Source organism: Homo sapiens, chromosome 2, assembly GCF_000001405.40.
Source record: "Homo sapiens chromosome 2, GRCh38.p14 Primary Assembly".
Lineage (NCBI taxonomy): Eukaryota > Metazoa > Chordata > Mammalia > Primates > Hominidae > Homo > Homo sapiens.
Window position 1 is genome coordinate 147,467,179 of NC_000002.12, and position 22,440 is coordinate 147,489,618.

General features: G+C 39.1%; 1 annotated feature.

Moving 5' to 3' along the window:
* Positions 18,120–18,808: an enhancer, noted in NCBI's record as "OCT4-NANOG hESC enhancer chr2:148242866-148243554 (GRCh37/hg19 assembly coordinates)". NCBI's record gives its function as "activates a minimal SCP1, AML or CMV promoter by ChIP-STARR-seq in primed H9 embryonic stem cells {active_cell/tissue: H9 hESC(primed)}" and the evidence as "EXISTENCE:reporter gene assay evidence [ECO:0000049][PMID:30033119]".

A 22,440-nucleotide genomic window follows, 5' to 3' on the forward strand; every position in this document is an offset into this window, starting at 1 on the left:
AAGGAAAGAAAAAGAAAGAAAGAAAGCGGAAGAAAGAGAGAGAGAAAAAAAGAAAGAAATTGATTGTCTCACAGTTCTAGGGGCTAGAAGCTCAAAATCAAGGTGCTGACAGGGTCATGCTGACTCCAGCCTATTGGAGAATCATTCCTTGTATTGTCCCAGCTGCTGGGTGCCTCAGGTTTTCCTCAGCTGGTAGAAGCATCACTCCAAACCTTCATCTTCACTGGCATTCTCCCTGAATCTTTACATCATCTTCTCTCTCTGCCTTCCTGTCTCTGTGTCCAAATTTCCCCTTTCATAAAGACATCAGTCATGGTGGATTAGACGTCACTCTAATGACCTCATTTTAAGTTGATTACCTCTGTCAAGACCCTATTTTCAAATGAGGTTACATTCTTAGGTGCCAGAAGTTAGCCCTTCAACATATCTTTCTGGTGGACATAATTCAACCCATAACACACAGTAGTTGCACAATAAATATCAGACCACTCAACCACTCACTGACTAATAAAGGGAGAAAAGTTATTGACATTACAAACCAAGGAAACCACAGGAACCAAGTCATGGAGATATGGAACAGATTATTGGATTCAGGAGTCTATAACTGAGTAGTTTGGAGGGAGCTTAATATACAAAGGAGAACAGAGATGGCAGAGAGATAGGCAGAGACCACTCATGAAGGGCTGGGTGGAAGCTTGGACATTACTCTGTAGGCAGCTTAACAGTGACTGGCAAGAGCAGCCCTTTGTTTCAGAGTTGCTCATTAAACTAAAAGTGAAAACTAAATAAGACACAGTGCCTGCCCTCAAGGGCCTCATTGTCATGCAGAGGAGATCATATACAAGCAAATCATTTCAGTTCAGTATGTGTCCTTAAGGGCAGAAATAGTGTAATATCTACAGTGTCTTTGGAGCATAACCTGTAGCAGGTAGTGAGTAATTGTTTGCTGAATAATTTTGATGTGTCAATGTGTTTTTTTTATTATTGCAGATATAATAATAAAAATAATAAAGGTAACAGTAACTAGCATTTGACAAGCACTATGATAAGCCCTTTGATGCATTATCTCATTTAATCCTCACCACAATGCTCTGAGTTGTACACTGTTGTTATCTCACTCTACAGATGAAGAAAGCAGGCTTAGAGAGTTACCCAAGGTCACAGATCTGGAAAGAGGCAGAGCTGAGACTTGAACTCAAATCCACATGACTCCTAACCCCTGGATCTTATTTCTTATACTAAGAGTTAAATTGGCAAGATTTCCAATTATCTTTTGTTTGTGTTCCAATTCTAGGGTTAATGGTTAGTTTTTTACGTAAATCATCATCCTTTCACCACAGGGGGTAAAGCCTATGAAAATGCTGATTGAGTGAAATTCAAGAGCAATGTGTTTGTCAATGGCCATTAATCAATCTATAATCAATGTGTAAACACTTTGCTAAACAATTAACTTGTTGGAAAATGTGTAAACAAGACAATTCCAGCTAAGGCAGATATTAGCCAATAGTTAGGTCGAAGAGAGCACAACACTGTAGCTCAAAAGACCAGCATGCCGCCCTTCATTTAATTATTTTTGTAACATACCTATTGTATATGTAATGAACTTCCATAGAAATCAGCCCCCTGGGACCCTCAGGTAATTGAGAATCGTTCCTTTCTGCCTGATTCACCAAATAATCAGTTTCACTAATAATAAAAAGAAGATCTAGTAGGGAGTGCAATTGTAAGACAGCAGGTTACAAATAAACAATTAATAAAACTGTTTTGGGTTCAACTATGTCATTTGTTTTTGATGCCACAGTAATTTTGGAAGGGAGCAGAGTGATCCTCAGGGTCTTACTAGGCTTTAGGGACCTGTGAACCACCTTTCACCTGTCTGCCTATGCTCGTATGAACATACACATTAGGAAGAGGAATCCACAATTTATCACATTCTTATTAGGATCCAACACTCAAAAAAGGTTGAAAATCTCCCCTCCCCGCCAGCGCCGGCTTAATGCAAATGGGCAAACTACGGCTCAGAGATGTCAAGACAGCTACACAATGCCATGCAGTTGTTTATGGAAATTCTGGAACAAGAACCCATGGCCTCCCAGCCTGAAGCTCCATCTCCTATAACAAAATTTTAATAAACTCTGGACCTGACAACATGAATGTGGCCCATAAACAACTGCAGAATAAAATCAATGTCTAGAAGAAGCAAACATCTCCCTACCACTCCACATTGAAGTCTGATACCTCCAATAGTGCCACTTTAGGGTCATATATTTAAAGGTAAATGCTTACAGCCTAACAAGCATTTGTTTATACTTCAAAAGAAATTCATCTTTCAAATACTCCCATGGCATTATATTTCGATGGGATGTAAAAGTGACTTCTCTTTCCTCCCTCCATCTCTCCCCCACTGCCTCCTCCCCTGCTGCCATGATTGGCCACATCCTCCAGCAGCAATAATAGGATCGCCTTCCCTACTAAGAACCCTGCTGTTATTTGGAATGTAATTGCCCAGCACCCCACAGAGAATGCATTCTCTCAAGCTCCAGCAAAGCTTTTCCATTGAGACCAGGCAGAGTACATTGAAGGCTAATTTGGAAGATGTTAAGAATATGTTAAAATAATGAACTTCAGTTTTTCAAATGAAAATAGAAACCCTCCAAATTAAGGACTTGACTCTCAGCTCTATTTTCATATTACCCCTGGACTAGAGTTACATTTTTTCAGCCCAGTTTATGCATCTGTGGGATTCTGAACAGGATCTAAACAGGCAATCCATCTGATTCATTGAGAATCTTCCTGACACATGACTAGGGTTTCTAATTCCCACCAAACTCCAAACACATAACTCTTCCATGCCACCTCAGCCCTCACTTCCAATTTTCCTAAATGGAGTGTTTGGCAGCTTCAAGATAGTGAAGGAAACACAGAAGCCACGTCTCTGGTTCCACCAGGCCCAACATTGGCCTGAGGGATTAAAACAACTTGCAGTGACTGGAGACCATCTTGTTCACCCTGAGGGGCTTTGCTCTAACTTGTCTTTCCCAACACAATTTCATGAGTTTTACCCATTGCCAGGTTGTTTTTACTTGATTATGTTGGACTAACATAGCAAGAGATCCACTCTTACTTCTTGGGATGCCAAGTACCTATGACTGTTACTTAAATGCTGCAAATTGACAGGAGGATGTTCTATATGTTTGTATTTTAAGTGATAAGGAAATATATGTGCTGTTTGCTGCCATGACAGTGAGGGAGTTTTGATGACATAAATGTCTCCAGAAAGATGAGTGAATTGGCCTTTTCAGAGAACAAGGCTGCCAAGAAACTGAAGGGGTGGAGGTGGTGTCAGCATGGGGGAACACAGTCTGGCCTGTAATTTAGGCAAATCACATTCTTTATAACTATACTTTAGACATTGGTTTTTCTATTAAAATGGACAGATATGACATTCAATTAACATGCCTCACCTTTATCTCCTTTGGTTCAAATTAACCCTCTGTTTAAAAGCTCTGAGCACCACTAAAAATAAATTTAACAAATTATTTGAAAGTTCTTAATTCTGATTAGAATCAAATAATTGTACTTTTTTTTACTGTAAGCATCAAAATATGTTTAAAGGGATTTATTTATTTATTATTTATTGAGGTGGGGAGTTAATTTGTTGAAGAGTGTCCTTTTCAAAATAAGAGAAAAATCTTTATACTGCTGGGCACAAAATCGCATTTCACAGTCACAAGACCAAAACCAACATCAGGATTTTCTGTCCTCAAATTTTCTTGTTTTCTTGGATAACTTAATTGGCACCTAGCAATTAAGAAATCAGTAATTCATTCCCACATATTTACTGAGCACCTACAAAGTACCTGACTGTATTGGAAAATAAGCAAAGCCTTCCTCACTGAACTGGCTTAAGAGATAATAAGCTAATGTATATGGGCTGCATTGTCATAGGTACAGCTGTGAATACATATGTCAAGCAGGCTAGGGGGATAGACAGGGACAGATGCTGTCAGTTAACAGAGATTGATCAGGGAATTCCTCTCTGAAGAAATGACTTCTAAGTAAGGCCTGCGTGTGTGAAACAGCAATGGCACATGAACAACTGGAGAAGAGCAATTCAGGCAAAGGGAACACACAGGAAGCAAGGGCAAAGGTCCTTGGATAAGAAGGCTCCCATGTTACCTATGTAACTGAGCCACAGGGATCTTGGGTGCTAGAAACAAGGTCAGAGAGGCAGCCAGGAGCCCCATGTTGCTTCTTATGGGCCACTGTGAAGTTGGGTTTAATTCTAATATTATGGGAAGCTATTGATGTATTGAGTAGAGGAGTGACCTGATTGTTTATATTTTAAGGGGATGTTCCAATCAATAGGAATTTATTCTAATTGTCTTCTATGTTTATCCTTTATCTTCAGCTCACAAATTCCATTGATTCTTCTTCACATGGCCATCTTTTTGTTTTTGGCCCCATCCTAGAGCTACATTTCCTTGTACATGGGCCATCACAACATACTTCCAGCTGGTATCTCTGCCCCTAGTTTCTCCAAGATCCAATTCATTTAGTAGAAGTGCTAAATTGATCTTCCAAAAATACAAACCCATCCATGCTGTTTTCTGGCTTTAGAAGAGGAAGCCATTGGCTCCCTACTGGCTATAAGAAAAAGCTCAAATTTCTCATTCTGTCATCAAGAACTTCACAATATGGCCCCAACATTATCACCACTAAGGCAAAAAAATAAAATAAAGTAAAATGAGCTGATCCCGGCATGAAACATTCTTGATTCACAGCCACATACCTCCAAGATTGGGATGCTATATTCCTTTACATCAGCCATATATATGACTTGTCCCTCTGGTCATAATTCAAAGACCACCTTCTCCTCTCAGGACCTTCTCAATGATTCCAGCTCAGAATGTCTACAGTGCACGCATCCAGCACTACACAGTCTGATATTTTTTTAAGACTAGTCAAGTGCAGTAGTGAGAAGGGGAGAAAGTCGAACAAGGAATTTGATCCATAACTGACTGTGAAAAATCAATTGAGGTAACTCCCCACCTTGGGACAAGCCTAATACATATTTTTATATTCCATCTTGAAATATCATGTACCAGCTTTATATAATTTATATGATATCTTCACACTAAAACTGTAAGTTCCCAGGGGCCTTAAGACTTCAGTAGCCAACTCAGTGGCCTTGCACACACAGTACAGAGTTTATCTTCAGGCAATGCTTACAATCATAGGCCTTGTAAATAAAAGAAAAGTTAGAGCTTTTCCAGTCCTGGTCTCTCATTTCGTGGGTAAGAAAATCAAGATCTTTGGATGCGAAGGGCTTTGCTCAGGGCTACACAGCTACTTAATTGCATAAAAAGAACTCAAGTACAAGTCTCCTGACTCTTTCCAAGACATCATGCTGACTGGATCAAAGAATCAATTCCAATAACTTGTCTGACTATTACCACATCCTAGCCATTAGGACTATAAGTTTCCACTCCTTCTAACACTTTTTTCTTTTCTTTTCTTTTCTTTTTATTAAACCACAACACTGCTATAAAGTGATCAGATGACCTCTACCGATTATGAAAAGCATAATTATGATCCTCAGTTACAAATAAGAGAAATAAGCTCTGGATAGCTTTAGCAAAAGGAAACCATTTAGAAAGGTAGAATAGGGCTGGCAGAAATGATGGGGGGCTTGAGAATGGAAGGAAAGCACAGACACTCCATAGGGCTGGGAGGTGGACTCTGCAGGCTTCAGCATAGAGCAAGTCTGAGCAGCCCAGCCCTGCTATGGTGAACAGTCCTAGTGCCACATGTTCAGCATTCAAAGACCCCCATCTACCCAGAAAGTGACAGATTGGTCAAGTCTAGGTACCTAGAAGATAGGGAGAGAAAAAGTCCAGACCCTTCAGCTTCTGTGGTAGAAAGCAGGTACCAGAAATAACATTTCCACCAATATCACTCATGGAGGAGATTAATCATCCCAAAAGAAATTGTGTGCTATCATGAAGGGAGAATGATAGGAAGTCAAAATCTCAAATGTCTACTGCATCAATCATCTCTACTGACATCAGAGCAAAATGTCAATTCTTCAATTCCATTTCTCCTTGGAATGATAGCATAGAGTAGGGACAGAGTGAGGGAATGAAGGGATGAGAGAAGCAGGGAGGTTAGGCTGCCTTGGAATGAGATCCACCATTTGCTTAAAATGGTCAGAATCACTTCATCTCTGATGAAATGCCAAAGCATACATATAATTACTGCCAATTACTCCTGATTTTCACACAGGGAAACTGACTCAGAATGCTGCCTATAAACAAAGGGAGGTTAGAATCAGAATTCTCCCAGGAGATATACTGGGATGCAAATGCTTACAGGCCTGTGTTGATTTCTTAGGCCCTGAGTGATCTAAATTTGATTATTATTAATAATGACAATAAAAGATTCTGTTGCCTTACTATATATGCCTGCATCTTACCAGGGACATTATGTACATTATCTCACTTGTTCCTTGGGAAAAATCATGTAAATCAGTATTATTTTTTTGCTTTGTGGTCAGAAAAACTGAGGCTCAGATAGTACAAGTCAGAATTTCAACCTAGATCTATTTGACTTCAAAGCTTCTGTGCTTTCTGTCATGCTAACTAGAAAAACAGGGGACCCAGAGTCAGAATATTTGGATGCAAGTCACAGCTCTAGCAGTTACAGGTCTATAGCTTTGGGTAAACCATTTTAATTTCTCTGTGCCTTGGTGGCTTCACCCAGAAAACACGGATAACTGGTAATTACTAGTTGTTCTCCCTCATAAGACTGTTAAGAGCAACATATGAGAAAGGGTCTTGAAAACTAAACCTATAAAATGCTATTCAAATAAATCTTAGTAATTATCATTATTATGATATATAAGACAACTGGAGACAAGCAAAATACAGGCTTAGGCACAGAAAATAATCCAGCCGTATGTGGAATGCTGGTGAGGCAGGAAACGGGATGCCAGAATGTAACTTTGCTCTGATCCACTCTACCTGCGCAGGAGAAGGAGGAGCAAGAAGTACCTTAAAAGACTGTACCCAGTAGGATCTGAAATGTAGGATATACTTTGCAGCTGCTTTGCTGTTACAGAAATGAATGAAACAAAATCACTGACTCCAAAGACAATCTCATTACTCTTGATAGATTGGCTGCCTGACAATATTTTGGAACTGCCAGAGGAGGCAAAGTTACATTTATATAACTTTAAAACTGTCAGAAAAGTGGGGAGTAAAATTAAGTTTGTTCCTTTTTACAACTACAGGTAGAGGTAAATTGCATGGCTAGATGAAGGGGAAGGCATGTGACAGCTCTAATATTACAAATGAGTATATTTATGAGCACTGAAAGTCTGTGTACAGAGAATAATTTTTCTCCCATTTGGTAGGATTATAGAAAACTGATGCATTGCAGATTAGAGCCAAAAGAGAAAAGTGGAACCAGCAACAATATAATAACCACTCAACAGGAGTACAAATGCAAGAAAAGATGCATTTATTTTAATTTAAAGACATTTCTGTTTGAAGGAGATGCAAAAATGGGAACATCCAAACTGATGTTTACATAGAATTACTTCTAATTTACACATCATGAGTCTTCCTGTTTTTCATTGGGGTTTATGAATCTTGATCACAACATGAGCATTTATTTATAAATATTGCACAGCATGCATTTAAATACATCCTCCAAACACCAAAGTCTATATCTGTAGCCATTTGCCCTCTTCTCTCTAATTACAATGAAGAAATGTCTCTTTTTCTTTCAAAGGCTAAAACTTACACATAGACCCAGGATCCTAAATTATCCAACCCTGCAGAAACCCTGTCAATAAGCCCATCTTTCTCCAGCATCATCAATCTTCAAGTTCCTCTCCACCATCACTCAAATATGCTTAACTAAGTATCTCTCACATGGGAGTCTGGGGAAAATATGGACCCCATGTCATCCTTCAGCTATTGTCCTTTCCCTCAAGGATCCTGTATAGCCAAGAATCTCAAAAATTAGACATTTGGCCTCAACTTGACCCTTCATGCCCTCTGCAATTATCTCCAATCAGGCATCTGCCCACACTAAAAACCATCCTCTTGATAAAAATCATTCACATTATTTGATTGAATGGGACTTTTTTCATTCTTTGCTATTCTCAAGTGTTTCAGCAGCATCCAACACATGTGACCATTTGCTTCTTTCTTTATCTTGGCTTCCTTAGCAGTGTACCCTGCACCTCCCCGCCACTGCCCCCAGTTTTGGCATTTTTACTTACTCCTGTTGCTTTAAATTCCAAATACACAAAATGGTTCCCAAATTTCTATGTTCAGCCCAGCCTCTTCTTCAAGGTTTCAGAACTGTATACCCAACTAATACTTGAAGTTTCCCCTTGATTTTCTACAGGTATCTTAAAATAGTCCAAAGTCAACTTCTGCTATCCACTCCAACCTTGTATTGGCCAGTCTTTCAACAGACCCCATCTGTATTAGTCCGTTTCACCCTGCTGGTAAAGACATACCCAAGACTGGGTAATTTATAAAGGAAAGAGGTTTAATGGACTCACAGTTCCACATGGCTGGGGAGACCTCACATTCATGGCAGAAGATGAAGGAAGAGCAAAGAGATGTCTTACATGGTGGCGGGCAAAAAGAGTTTGAGACGTATTCACTATCATGAGAGTTTGAGACTTATTCTCTATCATGAGAAAAACACAGGAAAGACCCACCCCCATGATTCAATTACCTCCCACCAGGTTCCCCCCATAACATGTGGGAATTGTAGGAGCTACAATTCAAGATGAGATTTGGGTGAGGACACAGAGCCAAACCATATCACCATCTTAGCATTTAAGTTATATCATATATAACCTATTGTCCATGCCAGTGTCCTCAGAGTTGACCTTAACTCGAGAGATCCCACATCTAGTCTGTGGACTATGTCTCCAGAATATAGCTCATTTCTCTCAACAACTGCTAACAATCAAGTTTAAGTTATTAGCATCCTTTACCTGGCCAGCTATAATGACATCCTAACTGATCTCTTACTTTCATCTCCAATCCTTTCTATACATGAGGATGCATGCTTTTTAGAACAAACAAACAAACAAAAAACTTGTTTTAGAGATGGTGTCTCATTATGTCGCCTAGGCTGGAGTGCAGTGGCTATTCACAGGCGCAATCATAGTGCACTCCAGCCTCAAACTCCTGTGCTGAAGCGATCCTCTTGCCTTTGCCTCCTGAGTAACTGGGACTACAGGTGCTTGCCATTGTGCCAGTCAGGGGATGTATGCTTTTAAACGTTCCTCTGATCATGCTTAATTGCACTCAGAATAAAACCTTCACACACCAGTAAGTTCTATATACTCTGGTAATTCCTACCTCTTTGTCCTCATCTTAAGCCATTCTCATCCTCTATTACTCTAATCTTCTTTCCCTTGTCCATCCAGGACATTCATATGTGTGTTCTAAATCCTGACACGCATTTCATCCAGCTCACTCCCACTCATCCTTTAAGCTGCAAGTCAAAATTCACATCTATAGGGAAGGCGTCACTGAGCCTGCCCACAATCTAAATTAAAATACCCATTATATTTTTCTGTTGTACCCTTCACATCTCCTCCATAGCATGCACCGCTGTTTGCCACCATGTGTTAGCGCAAATGTTCATTTATGTCTCTCTTCCCTTGCTTCTTTGTTCTGTATGGGCAGAAATTGCACTGTGCTCATCACTGTATCTTCACTGCCAGTACAGAACACCAGACGGTGTTGCATAAGAATTTGCTGAACCAACAAATGTACCAAGGCTGATTTTCCCATGGATTTTTCCCTTAAAATATAGTTAACATTATAGGTGGGATACCTGAGTTCCAGCTGCTTTCTAAAGATTTAAGAAAATGTTGAAGTCCTGGAAGAAAAATGATTGATTCAAAAGTATTATAATAAGAATAGTAATTAATACTTATAGTATTATTATACTAAGAAGAATAGTAATTAATACTATTCTTATTATACATGTAATTGAGAACTGTGCTCAATTACCTTTCTACAAAACACAATAATGTGTATTAGTCGACTACAGTGTCATTCAACTCTTACATCATTACACACAAATTATACAGTCATGTGTCACTTAATGATGGGAATATGTTCTAAGAAATGTGCATTAGGTGATTTCATCATTGCACAAATATCACAGAGTGTACTTACACAAACTTAGATGGTAAGGCCTAGTACAAACATAGACTATATGGTATAGCCTATTGTTCCTAGGCTACAAACCTATACAGCAAGTTACTGTACTGAATACTGTAGGCAACTGTAATACAAAGGTTAGTACTTGTGTATCTAAGCATATCAAAACAAAGAAAAGGTACAGTAAAACTATGGTATAAAAGATTTGAAAAATGGTACTCCTATACGGTGCACTTAACATATATGGAGCTTGCAGGGCTGGAAGTTGCTCTGGGTGGGTCAGTGAGTGAGTGGTGAGTGAATGTGAAGGTCTAGGACATTACTGTACACTACAGTAGACTTTATAAACACTGTATAATTATGCCGTACTAAATTTATCTTTGAAATTTTTTCTTTCTTCAGTAATAAATTAACCTTAGCCCACTATAACTTTTTATAAACTTTAAGCTGTTATAAACTTTAAATTTTTAAAACTCTTTTGGGATAATCCCTAGCTTAAAACACAAGAACATTGTACAGTTGTACAAAAATATTTTCTTTTTTTAGATCTTTATCCTATAGGCTTTTTTCTATTATTTTTTTTTTCACCTTTTAAACTTTGTTGTTAAAAACTAAGACAAACACACACATTAAGCTAGGCCTACACAGGGTCAAGATTATCAATATTACTGTCTTCCACCTCTGCATCTTGTCCCACTGGAAGGTCTTCAGCGGCAATAACATGCATGGAGCTCTCATGTCCCATGATTTCAATGCCTTCTTCTGGAATACTTTCTGAAGGACCTGAGATCCTCTCTAATCTAGCATCTTTACCAGCAACACCTCTTCCTCATGTCCACGGACAGCTGTACCATGGGCAGAGAACTACCCTGGTCTTTGGCTATCACTGTGTGTCAATTTGTCCCAAAGGTTACAACATGCAAATCCCAGAGAGAAGCAATCTGAGATAGCCCTGCCTTCAGCATGCTTGGGAGAATAAATATCAGCGAATAAGATCAACATAGGTCTGCTAGACTGAGAAATTATGTTTTGTTGTTGTTGTTGTTGTTGTTGTTGTTTTTGAGAGGGAGTCTTGCTCTGTCGCCCAGGTTGGAGTGCTGGAGTACAGTGGTGCGATCTCAGCTCACTGCAACCTCCGCCTCCTGGGTTCAAGCGATTCTCCTGCCTCAGCTTCCCAAGTAGCTGGGATTACAGGTGCCCATCACCACACCCAGCTAATTTTTGTATTTTAGTAGAGATAGGGTTTCACTCTGTAGGTCAAGCTGGTCTCGAACTCCTGACCTCAAATGATCTGCCAACCTCGGCCTCCTAAAGTGCTAGGATTACAGGTATGAGCCACCGCACCCAGCTGAGAAATTATGTCTTAATCATATTTTAAAATGAATATCACTCCTAAAATTATTTTATTAATAAATCCTTTTACTGACTGTAACTCCAGCATTTCACGCAATGATCCAAAATGATACTAAATTACCAGCATCACATTTTTCAGAATTTTTTGAAAGATTAAAAAATTAAAAATAGAATTATTATTTTATACAATACCCAACAAATATTTTTGCTGCCTTGGAGTACACTAGGTATAAAGAAGAAAAGGAAATACAAATTTAATATTCATTTCAAAAAACCTTCCATAAAGCACTGGAAATACTTGCCACTTCAAAATATGTATTTTCTGTGTAATATAAGCTTTGACATTCTTATCTTCAAAATTATTTACATAGAAAAATAATACACATGCATAATTATAATTTGCATTATTTTCTGCTGGCCTAGCAGAAAGGTACCAAAAGTTAATTCTCTAAAATCAAACCTACCTATAATCTCATTAAATTTGCACAACGAGTGGGTAGTTACGGTGACATCATTCATAGTTTTCTAAGCTCCAAAATAACTTCTTAATGATGACTTTTGTAGCTTGTAATAACCATATAAACTCATGTGATGGTTCATGATCTATTTACTGCCATCATTACTCTTCATTCAGTTATTTTACTGCCCCCACAGGGTTATATAAACCTGCTCTGTGCCACCCATCTCTACCACCCATCAGCAAGCAGAGCCGAGCTGGTCAGCCAGCCGAGCAAAAATGCACGAGGCTTCTCTGTTGTTACACCAAAATGTCAGCTTTGCTGCCTGCCTCCTGCTTATGGATAAATCATCAACCCAGAAAACCTGCACGTCCATCACCCATTGGATCTCTACCCCTAAGTGACCCATATTCAGGGCCTGCCAAAGCCTGCCAATTAATGATCCAATGGAGGAACACATTAACTACCCAATTCTCTGGGTTTTCTAGGCTCTATTCCCATGGCAAGTTAGGGTATCAAAATCCAATGTCCCTGAACTATACTAACCTACTTACTGAATTGCAATTTAATATCATGGGAATTTGCCATTTCAATATATGGGCTAGATTGTTTGCAAAACTGTAGCTGATATATTGTCTACTATGTTTCTCAGAGACAATTTAACAAATTTCTCATTGATGTAAGCATTCAGAAGTTTGCCCTTTTTAAGCAAATGGATATACTTTTATATTAGCCAAGGAGAGCTATATATTAATAACTTGTTATGTTTGTTTTTTCTTTAGCAGTTAGGAGTCAAAGAACTAAATTTACTATTTAATTCCCATGACTAGCTCACTGAGAGCTCCTGGCATAATTATGCTCCCCTTCTTTCTAAATCAATTTTTCCAACTTCTCTTCCCTACCACAGTAGTAGGATACAGTACAGGTTCATCAGTAATACTGATTCACTATAACCATAGGGCACTGACCAAGAAGTGACTAAAAGGCCCCCCAGAAAAGGTCCTAGTGTTGAGCAAAGATGTCGCCTTGAGAGAATAGAGGATAGATTCTCATCAGTAACTGGTTCAATTTGAAAGTGAGGATTCAAAGCTGGGTTCTTACCCTAGATTATCCTGAGCACCCGTATTCCATTCATTCCTTTGTCCCCTTTCTCACCTCACTTGAGTTCAGAATCATTGATCTAAATCAGGGGTTGGTAAACTTCTGTAAAGAGCAAGATAATAAATATTTTAGGCTTTGCAAGTCTTAAGGTCTCTGTCACAGCTATTAAACTTGACCACAGTAGCATGGAAGCAACCATAGACAATATGTGAACAAATGAATATAACCTTTTTCCAATAAACCTTTATTTGTAAAAACATGTTGTGGATTGAACTGGGTCACAGGATGTAGTTTACTGACCCCTCATCTAGATGATCTCTAATACCGGTTTTTAATCTTTACTTTAATGTGTTGGTTTGTTTATGTTCAGTATGGCAACCTACTTCAAAATATTTTATTTGAATAGAAGAGTACATTATAAATAAAGAATGAAACAAAATTCAAGGACTCTATATTATAAGTAGCCTATATATCATTTATTAAAGTCCTGGTACTGGAAATTGGCAATGAATCTCTGCTCTTCAGAAATTTACACTCTGATATGGGAGAAACGACAACTTTACAAATAACTATAAAAAAAGTGCTGAACAAGAGCTGCAAACAATGTCCTGTGGGAGTTCACAAGAGAGGGGTCCTTCAAACCCCAGGAATAGGAAGATATCCTGGTAGAAATGATACTGGACCTACAAGGGATTTCACTAGGCAGAGGTGAAGGGCAGGAACATTTCAAACTGAGAGTGGTGTGGTAAGGTGAAGTAGCCTGGGGTGTACAGAGAAATCCCTGTTTGGCTATAATATAGAGTAGGCATAGAAGACAGTTGAGAGGTCACAATGATAAGATTCATCAAGGAAGTGAGGTTAAGAAGTTTGGGATTTTTAGCAGGCAGTAGAGAACCATGGAAGGCTTTAGAGAAAGAAAGAATTATATCTTAATCTTTATTGAGAATCAAGAAAATTAATCTGCCAGCAGCAAATAGGAAAGAGTGAAAAGTGACCACATAACCTTTAGAAAAATGTTCAAGGTAGCAGAAGCAAGGAGGGAGAGGTGTATGTGTCTTCTTTGGGGCATATACAAATCACGTGTAGGGCTTTTTCAAACTGCACAGCCTGATCCCAAAGATTTTGATATGGCTTCTATTGGAAATGCCCCTCCCACATCATTCATTACTGGTAATTGGGAATAATTCCCTTTGCAAGCCATTGTTACAGTGTGTTGTGTGCCTCAAGAGTATTGGGGTAAAAAATAAAAGTTGAAAAAGCCTAAGAAGAAAGCTGTTGCAAAAACTCAGGCAAGATGTAAAAAGGAGGTAAAATATGGTGATAATGATGGGAATAAAAATGAGAGTTGAAGAGTCTTTGCTCAAACAGGACTTGCCTTACACTTCCCCTCTGAAATATCTGGGAGCTAGTGCAGAATCAACAGAAATGGTAATGTCAGGAGGAGCACAGGCAGGGGAAAAGGGGAGTTCAGGGATACGCATGTAGAGTCTGAAGTGTTAAACATATTATGCAGATAAAAAGCAAACAAAAGGTTGAGCTTGTGAGTCTGAAGCTTGAAGGATTTGGGGCTAGAGGTACAGGTGTGGCCATTGTCCAAAGGGAGGTGATAATCATAGCCATCCCTCTGCATCAGGTTGCCAAGAGAGAGCATGCTTAGAGAGAAGCAAGTGCTTGAGGATCACCCATATTCTGGTGGCACAAAAAGAGAGACAGCCATGAAGGAGCAGTCAGAGAAGGAGGTAGGGAAAATGCACTGTTCCAGAAGCCCAGAGTCAGGTTAAATGTGGGCAACAGAAATATGTTGGTCAAAAAACCAAGGACTGAGAAATAGGCCCTCGGACTGGGCAAAGGTATCACTATCCACCTCCGGGAGAGCAGCAGAGGGTTTATAGCAGAACACAGGCTGCAAGGGATGGAGATGTGAGCTGGGTGAGGAATTGCAAGTAGCAACTGTAAATCCTCTTGAGAAATTTGGGAGTGGTTTGTTCCTGGGATACTATAAATAACAGGAATGCAGGAAGCAAGGAAGTCGTAAGATGAAAGGGACATCAGTTTGCAGTGAACAGTGTTTGGGATTAACTAGCCCCAAGATTACAATCAGCCCATGGTGTGACGTACAGCCCTTGAGATGTTCGCCTCACAAAGAATGGAGGGTTCTGGTTTTTGGTAGTGGGACAGCTGAACAGTGGTCACTATTGCCATCATCAAAAGTAGTTAAGAGAGCCCCCAAGTATAAGTTGCATGGTAGGGCACTAAATAAAGTCTCTAAGCAAATGAGGCTTATATTGCAAAGAAGCTAAGAATCTCAGAGAGAAAACACAAACTTTGACATGCACATAAAAAAAGAGGCAGTTGAGAATACACTGAGCTAATTGAAATAATGACTACATATTACAGGCAAATGATAGAGACCATTCATTCTGTGAGACAGAAAGTGAAGACAAAGTTATAATTGGTACATGATTAAGCAGTGTTGTTGGGGGAGGCTCTCATCCCTTCAGGGAGCCCAGGGAGTGTCATAACCGACAGCCACCCACCAATTAACCACAAGGATTTACAGACCAGCTTATATCAGGAACTGTGTCAGATTTCTGGGTGTCCCAAATATCCCTCCTGAATTCTCTTCCAGCTGATTCAGTTTCCTACTAATTTCCTCATCTACAAGCTCAAGGTTTCCACCTTAAAATACTAACAAAAATATTTTACAAATGGTCTCCATCATTTGCCTATAATATGTAGTCACTATTTCAATTAGCTTAGTGTATTCTCAAATGTAGAAAGATATCATCAGCCACCACCCATACACTTCTTATGAGGTCCTTGTACTTTTATATCCCTGTACTTTTGTGGTTTTCTGTGATCAGAGCCCAGCCTGACAGTACAATCAGAGTTAATATAAACACAAGGGAGAGGAACATTTCTAAAATGTATTCATCCTCAGACGCCATTTGTTCAAAAGCCCCTGGTCCTTGAAGTACCTGAGAAACGGAATGTTTGGGACTCTGGGAATTCTGTGCTCCAGATAAGAGAACAGTCATCACTTTTTCAGGGAGAGAGAAAGAACGGCCACCATTTCTTACAGGATGTGAATAATATCTTGTGTTGTGATGATGGCAAAAACCAAAAGTGCTTTTTCAGACTTTGTCACAGTGTCTGCAAAGCTGAGCTGGGCAGAATTTAACAGCCTAGGCAAACTTGGCTGCTGGCCTGACTTTCCAGAGTTCACTTTTCCCCTGTTGAAAAGGCTTCTCTTAATTATTTTTGGATTGAGCCTCATAGACAGGGAGTTTGCTGGATCTTCCCATCCCAGCAGGCTCACACCTGGGGGATGTTATTGTGCCACCTACAGCTGGGTTAGAGTCAGCTGCATGACAGGGCAGACCAGCTTGGGTGATGTGTTAAGGTATTTCAAATAGCCATGTAACATATCATAGCCCTTCTGCCATAAGAGGAGACCTTTACAATTCCTGTGCTCCAAAACGCTTCCTCTGGCACTGCCATCCCTATTCTGATCCAAACCATTCATTATAGGCTAGGCCATTGAGAAACTTCCAACTCATGCTCCTAACAACATAGCTACAATGGAGACCCATTTCAATGAGATTCTGTCCTTCTTCTAAATAAAACTAGCACTAAACTCAATAGCTTATGACTTTGTCTTTACTGGATACCAGCCATGTATACTTGATGGTCCTACTGGGAGGGCCAGCAGTCTTATATATGGCCTGTCATGGGGCTCTTTATATTCTTTGGCAGGAGTGGATAAAGTAGTAATATAGTGACCACACAGGAACCACTTGGAGACCACCCAGCAAGTAGCTTAGGAGCACAGCTCATCCACAGAGAGCCTCTAACAGGCTCCTGGTACACTTTCCCATCCCATGTGAAGTCATGAGAGACGTCATGAAAGCTGGGAGACGCTTTCAATTGCAGAATCATTAGCAAATGATCACACACAGCTCTGTCTCTTGCCTTCTTCTGATCCTCCCTAAGCTGGTCTTGGTACCGAAATAAGGCAGAAGCTGAGGCCCAATCCACCACTCCAGTATCTCTAGAATCCATCATTTCAGGGGAAAATTTTAAGCTTCTGCAGAGCAAAAATAGCATAATTTCAGAAAAAAGCAAACAACAGATTGTCATCCATATTTGCTGAAAATATTTTCCCCAAAGAGTTAATATTTATATTACATAAAAACTCATACAAAATGATAAGAAAAATGTCTAACTACTGCCACTTATCAGCAATTCAACTTTGGGTATGAAATTTAATTTCTTCAAGACCCAGTCTCCTCATCTATAAGATGCAGGTGGGAGTACCCACCTGTCTGAGGTTCTATGTAGATTAAGTGAGAAGATGCATTTAAAGTGCCAAGAGCAGGGTCTGAGCTCTCTTCTCTTCTTTGCTCCTCAAGTACTCCAACACCAAAATGGGGAAAGGCCAGAACAAACAATGTTATGTTGGAGGGAATACAATTAGGAAAGAAATATGAGGAAATATTCAACCTTCCTTGCTATCCAAGAAATGCAGATTGTAAGACACCTTACATCTATTATTTTACAGGACAAATTAAAAATAATGACACGGCCTCACCATTGTTGATGAGGTTGTCAGGTGGACTGCGCATCTATCCATTCACTAACAAGGCTGGTACAAACCAGAACAACCTTTTTGGAAACCCATTTGGCAATACTCTTAAAGACATAAAATGTTCATGACCTCTCACCAGTTATTCCCACCCAAGAAATGTCTTCTAAGGAAATAGCCTGAAAGATGAGCAAAAGTACTAGCACAAAGATTTTTGTTGCTACAAGATTCATTATAGTGAAAAGATCCAGAAACAACTTAGTGTCCAATATCAGGTAAACAAGTAATTTAATTACATAAGGGAAAAAAAGCAGAGAATGTAAAATTGTGCCTGTATTATAGTTGCATCACATGTGTGCATGTAAACAAGGAGTAGATAAGAACATGAGCAAATTTTAAAGGACTGTTAGAATCTGAGAAATGTTTGTATTGGAGTAATTTTTGTTTGACTTTGATTTCTCATATTGTTGCTGTAATATTGCTTGTACAATAAGTAATTCTTGTAAAAAGTAACTTAATCCTATTTCCACAGCTTTCACTATAACTAGGACCTCTTCACCCCTTGGCTAGATCAGGTGCTCACTTCCTGATGGATCTCCTCTCATTGTGTTTCTCCTCCTACAATTGACAGGGACTTCCTCATTTGTCCCAGGCACTGTGCCTTTAATTAATTTTTGTAAGGCACTTTAAATACATTCCAAGTATGTTAAATATATTTTTGTCATTCTCACAACCACCCATGAGGAAGGTATTACAGTCATCTAGCAGAACAATCCATACCAATAGATTGAGCTAGCTGTCCTCCCAGGGGGCCAGCACATGAAGCAGACACCCTAATTATCCACAGCCAGCTGAAACCATACATACTGGGGCTTTTTCTGTGAGTTTCTTGGCCATGAGAGATGCAGAGGAGTGCACAATGTGTCCAAGCAGATATTAGCTCTGCAATGTCAATATCCAAAGAATATTTAGCCCCGCAGTAAGCAGATGAGGAAATGACGCTTAATCCCCCTGCCTAAAGTTTGGATGTCATTTGTGCTCTAGGATCTGAAATACAACCTACATGTATCCAACTTCAGTTTGAATATAGTTAGCTTTTAACTAGAAGTGACAATAAAGTGTTTATCTTCTCATTTCTATAAAGACAAGATAGAAATCTACCACTATAAGGCCCACTCCAGGGAGCTAAAGGCAGAATAGTTGTTATAGATTATTCTTCTTCATTGAATTCCTTTTACTCCACAATCTACAAAGTCCAACCAAAAGGCAAATGACAGATAATTTTCAACACACTACTGAGTACAGAGCAGGTGTTTAATGAATATTCACTGATAGAATTAATGATCTGCTCAAAACCCAGGAAAGATTGTAAAGTCAGTTTTCAAAGCCCCCAGGTTCCCCACTCCACTTTCTTTGCCCATCTTTTCCTATCATTTCTACTCCACCACCTCAACTCTTACTATTATCCCGCATGCCCTCTCTTCCACCCGTAATAATTTACTTTTTAAAAACGCTATATTAAACATCCAACTGTTCATATGTAAATTTTTTGAGGTCATTATCACTTGTGCTGGAAAGTCTCATTTCAAAGAAACAACTCCCTAACTGTGAAACGTTGCATTTCTAGGTATCGGCCACTAGAGAAAACAACAACTCGAGTCAGCTGTCAATGAATTCTTTAAATGATAGTTGAAAGAAGTGTACTAGTTCATTAACAAAATGCATAAACAGGCCTATTTATAATCACATGCATACCTTAAGTCACTCTCCCCAAACCATAAATACATATAGTATCCAACTATACTTGGGTATCTTAAATATGCATTTTTATAGGCTCTATTTTTTTATTCTTGTGTGTATGTTCATTCTGTCTCTCTTTTTTTTTCTTCTTTTGTTCTTTTTGAGGCAAGGTCTCACTCTGCCACCCAGGCTGGAGTACAGTGGTGCGATCTCCACTCACTGCAACCTCAATCTCCCAGTTTCAAGTGATCCTCCCATCTCAGCCTTCCAAGTAGCTGGGGCTACAGACACACACAAGCCACCACACCTGGCTACTTTAAAAAATATTTTGTAGAAATAGGGACTTGCTATGTTGCTCAGGCTGGTCTTGAACTCCTGGGCTCAAGTGATCCACCTGCCTCGGCCTCCTGAAATGCTGAGATTAAAGGCATAAGCCACTGTGCCTAGCCTGTATGTTCATTCTTAAATTTAAGGAAATTGACACACCAAGAAGCTTTTCTATTATTAAGTACAGCTAAAACAAATAAATAAAAACTGCCCTGAAATTAATTTCTTTAAATCCCTTAAATTTAAAGTAAGTAATATGCTAGGAAGCTTTTCTATTATAAGGTACAGATAAATAAAACTGATAGATAAGTTTAAACTGCCCTGATTACATAATATCTATGAAGGGTAATTACATCTATGCAAAACAGGTTAATGCAACAGCTAAAAACAGCATTAAGATATAAAAAAGGGCATTTCCCAAAGTCCTTAAGGTCACCAGATTGATTAAACTTGACATCTGTCTAACTTAATAGGGCTGATCTAAGGAATTCGGCTCTGCTCTTCTTATCCATTGTTGCTTCAGTTGAACCTTGTTAACAGCTTTATTAGTGTCAGACTAGATAAGAGGGATCAGCCTTTCCACCTTCATCCACAGGGTTTCCTGGTATGTAGATTCAGAGAATGAAAAAAAACCAACCACTTCTAGAATTTGCTCTCTCTGAAAAGAAAAATTATTGTTGAAACCATTCTTGGACCTTAATTGAAAATATTCATTTTATTTGACCAGGAGGTTAGCCAACTGCAAGGAACAAAATATATTTTCTGATTAAAGAGTTTTACCTGGCTGGGATGACATTCACATTTCTTGTAGAGGATGGACTAGTCAGGGACTCCAGTTGTGTTTCAGTTATCTTGAGAGGACAGTCTGCTTAACAGGCTGGGCAGTAATTGACGATCATGTTACACTGGCAGAACAATCCATACCAATGGATTGAGCTAGCTCTCTTCCCAGGGAGGCAACACACGAAGCAGACTCCCTAATTATCCACAGCCAGCTGAAGACATACATGCTGGGGCTTTTTCTGTGGGCTTCTTGGCCATGAGAGATGCAGGGAAGCACATAATGTGTCCAAGCAGATATTAGTTCTACAATGTCAATATCCAAAGAACATTTAGTCCCACAGTAAGCAAAGTGTTAGTCTAGTAGCCCTAGAATCCACACTGAGAAAAGCTTCCTCAGCTTCCTCAGACCCTTGACTTTGGAAGTGAATCCTGGAATAATGAATCATGACTAGGATCAACTTAAATACTGAAACTGAAAATCATTGCCAGAAATTCTCTCTATATTAAATTTATTAGCATACACCGTCAGCGTTTCTCTCCTTTCTCTCTTTCTCAATCTTTCTCTCTATTAATATTTTCCTCTCTCTTTTGGAATCAAAGACTTTGAACTATTATACATGTAAATGATATGGAAGCCGGGTTAATAGATAATCATGTGTTGATCTTGAAAGATAAAAGGAGAACCCTATTTTCTCACATAAAATCGCAGTTACATTCAGATATTTTCATACAATGAACGTGAAGGAGGCTAAATCTTACAGGGTACAATTTCTCAAATCCTCAAGACCAGGAAAATCTAATAAGTAATTTGAATTGCCTTGCATGTGAACAAAGACTTCTTGAGAGCCTGCTCAGGGTCCATCAGGTCTGGTCCCTGTTTTCTCCTCCAGCCTCACCACTCCCTTCACCTCCCCAGGCTGGGATTCCAGGCTCTGCTATGCCTGCTGAATGCCCCAGGTCAAACCTGCTTAGAGACAGGCGCAGGGTGGTGAGACCATAAGCACTGACGCAGCCTTGCTCTTTTTGACTGGCTACTGCTCACCCACTCTTCAAAAGCCCTTCTTCCAGGGAGCCGGCTCTAACCTCCTGTGCATTCCACCTTGCCCTGTGAATACCCTATGATAGCACTGTCATGTTCATAGTAGTAATAAGGCTAAATTTTTTGTCCACCCACCAGATTATGTCTGAAAAATCTTTCTATTAAAAGCACTAAGCCCCAGACCTGGCCTCTGCTAAGAACACAGTATCTGTTAAATCAATGAATGGATGGATGAATGGATGGATGGATGGATGGATGGATGAACAAATGAATGAATAAATGAATACTAACTTTTTTGCCTATAATATTTTCCCTCTATTCCTTTATCCAGTTATAAAAACTCTTCTTATCTCATCCATGGCAGGTAATGAACATACAAAAAAAAATCATTAAAACAATGTAAGCATAAATAGAGTTTTAAAATTCAATTGTGCTGATGGCTGCACAGGTCTGTGAATTTACTAAAAATCACTGAATTATACTAGTGAATTTTATAGCATGTAAATTATACCTCATTACAGCTGTTACAAAACTGAATAGAAAATAGAATGTTTATATTATAGACTAGTCCAAACTGAGAGCATTTCAGAAGTGAAACATGGTTTAGAAAGTGGTGTGATACGTGAGAGAAATGACAATGAAAATTGCTTCTTGAATTTTTGTTGTTATTGTTAGTGAAATTGTTTTTCACCTGGACCTGGACAAGACATTGCTAGGAACTTTGTAGTAAATGTATTTAAAGAGAGGATGAGAGTTCACATAATGAAATTGGCCTGTTTCCAAATTGGTAGAAGAGACTCACCTAATTTCAGAGTTTGATTCATGGCTTGAAAAAAACAACAATTTTTT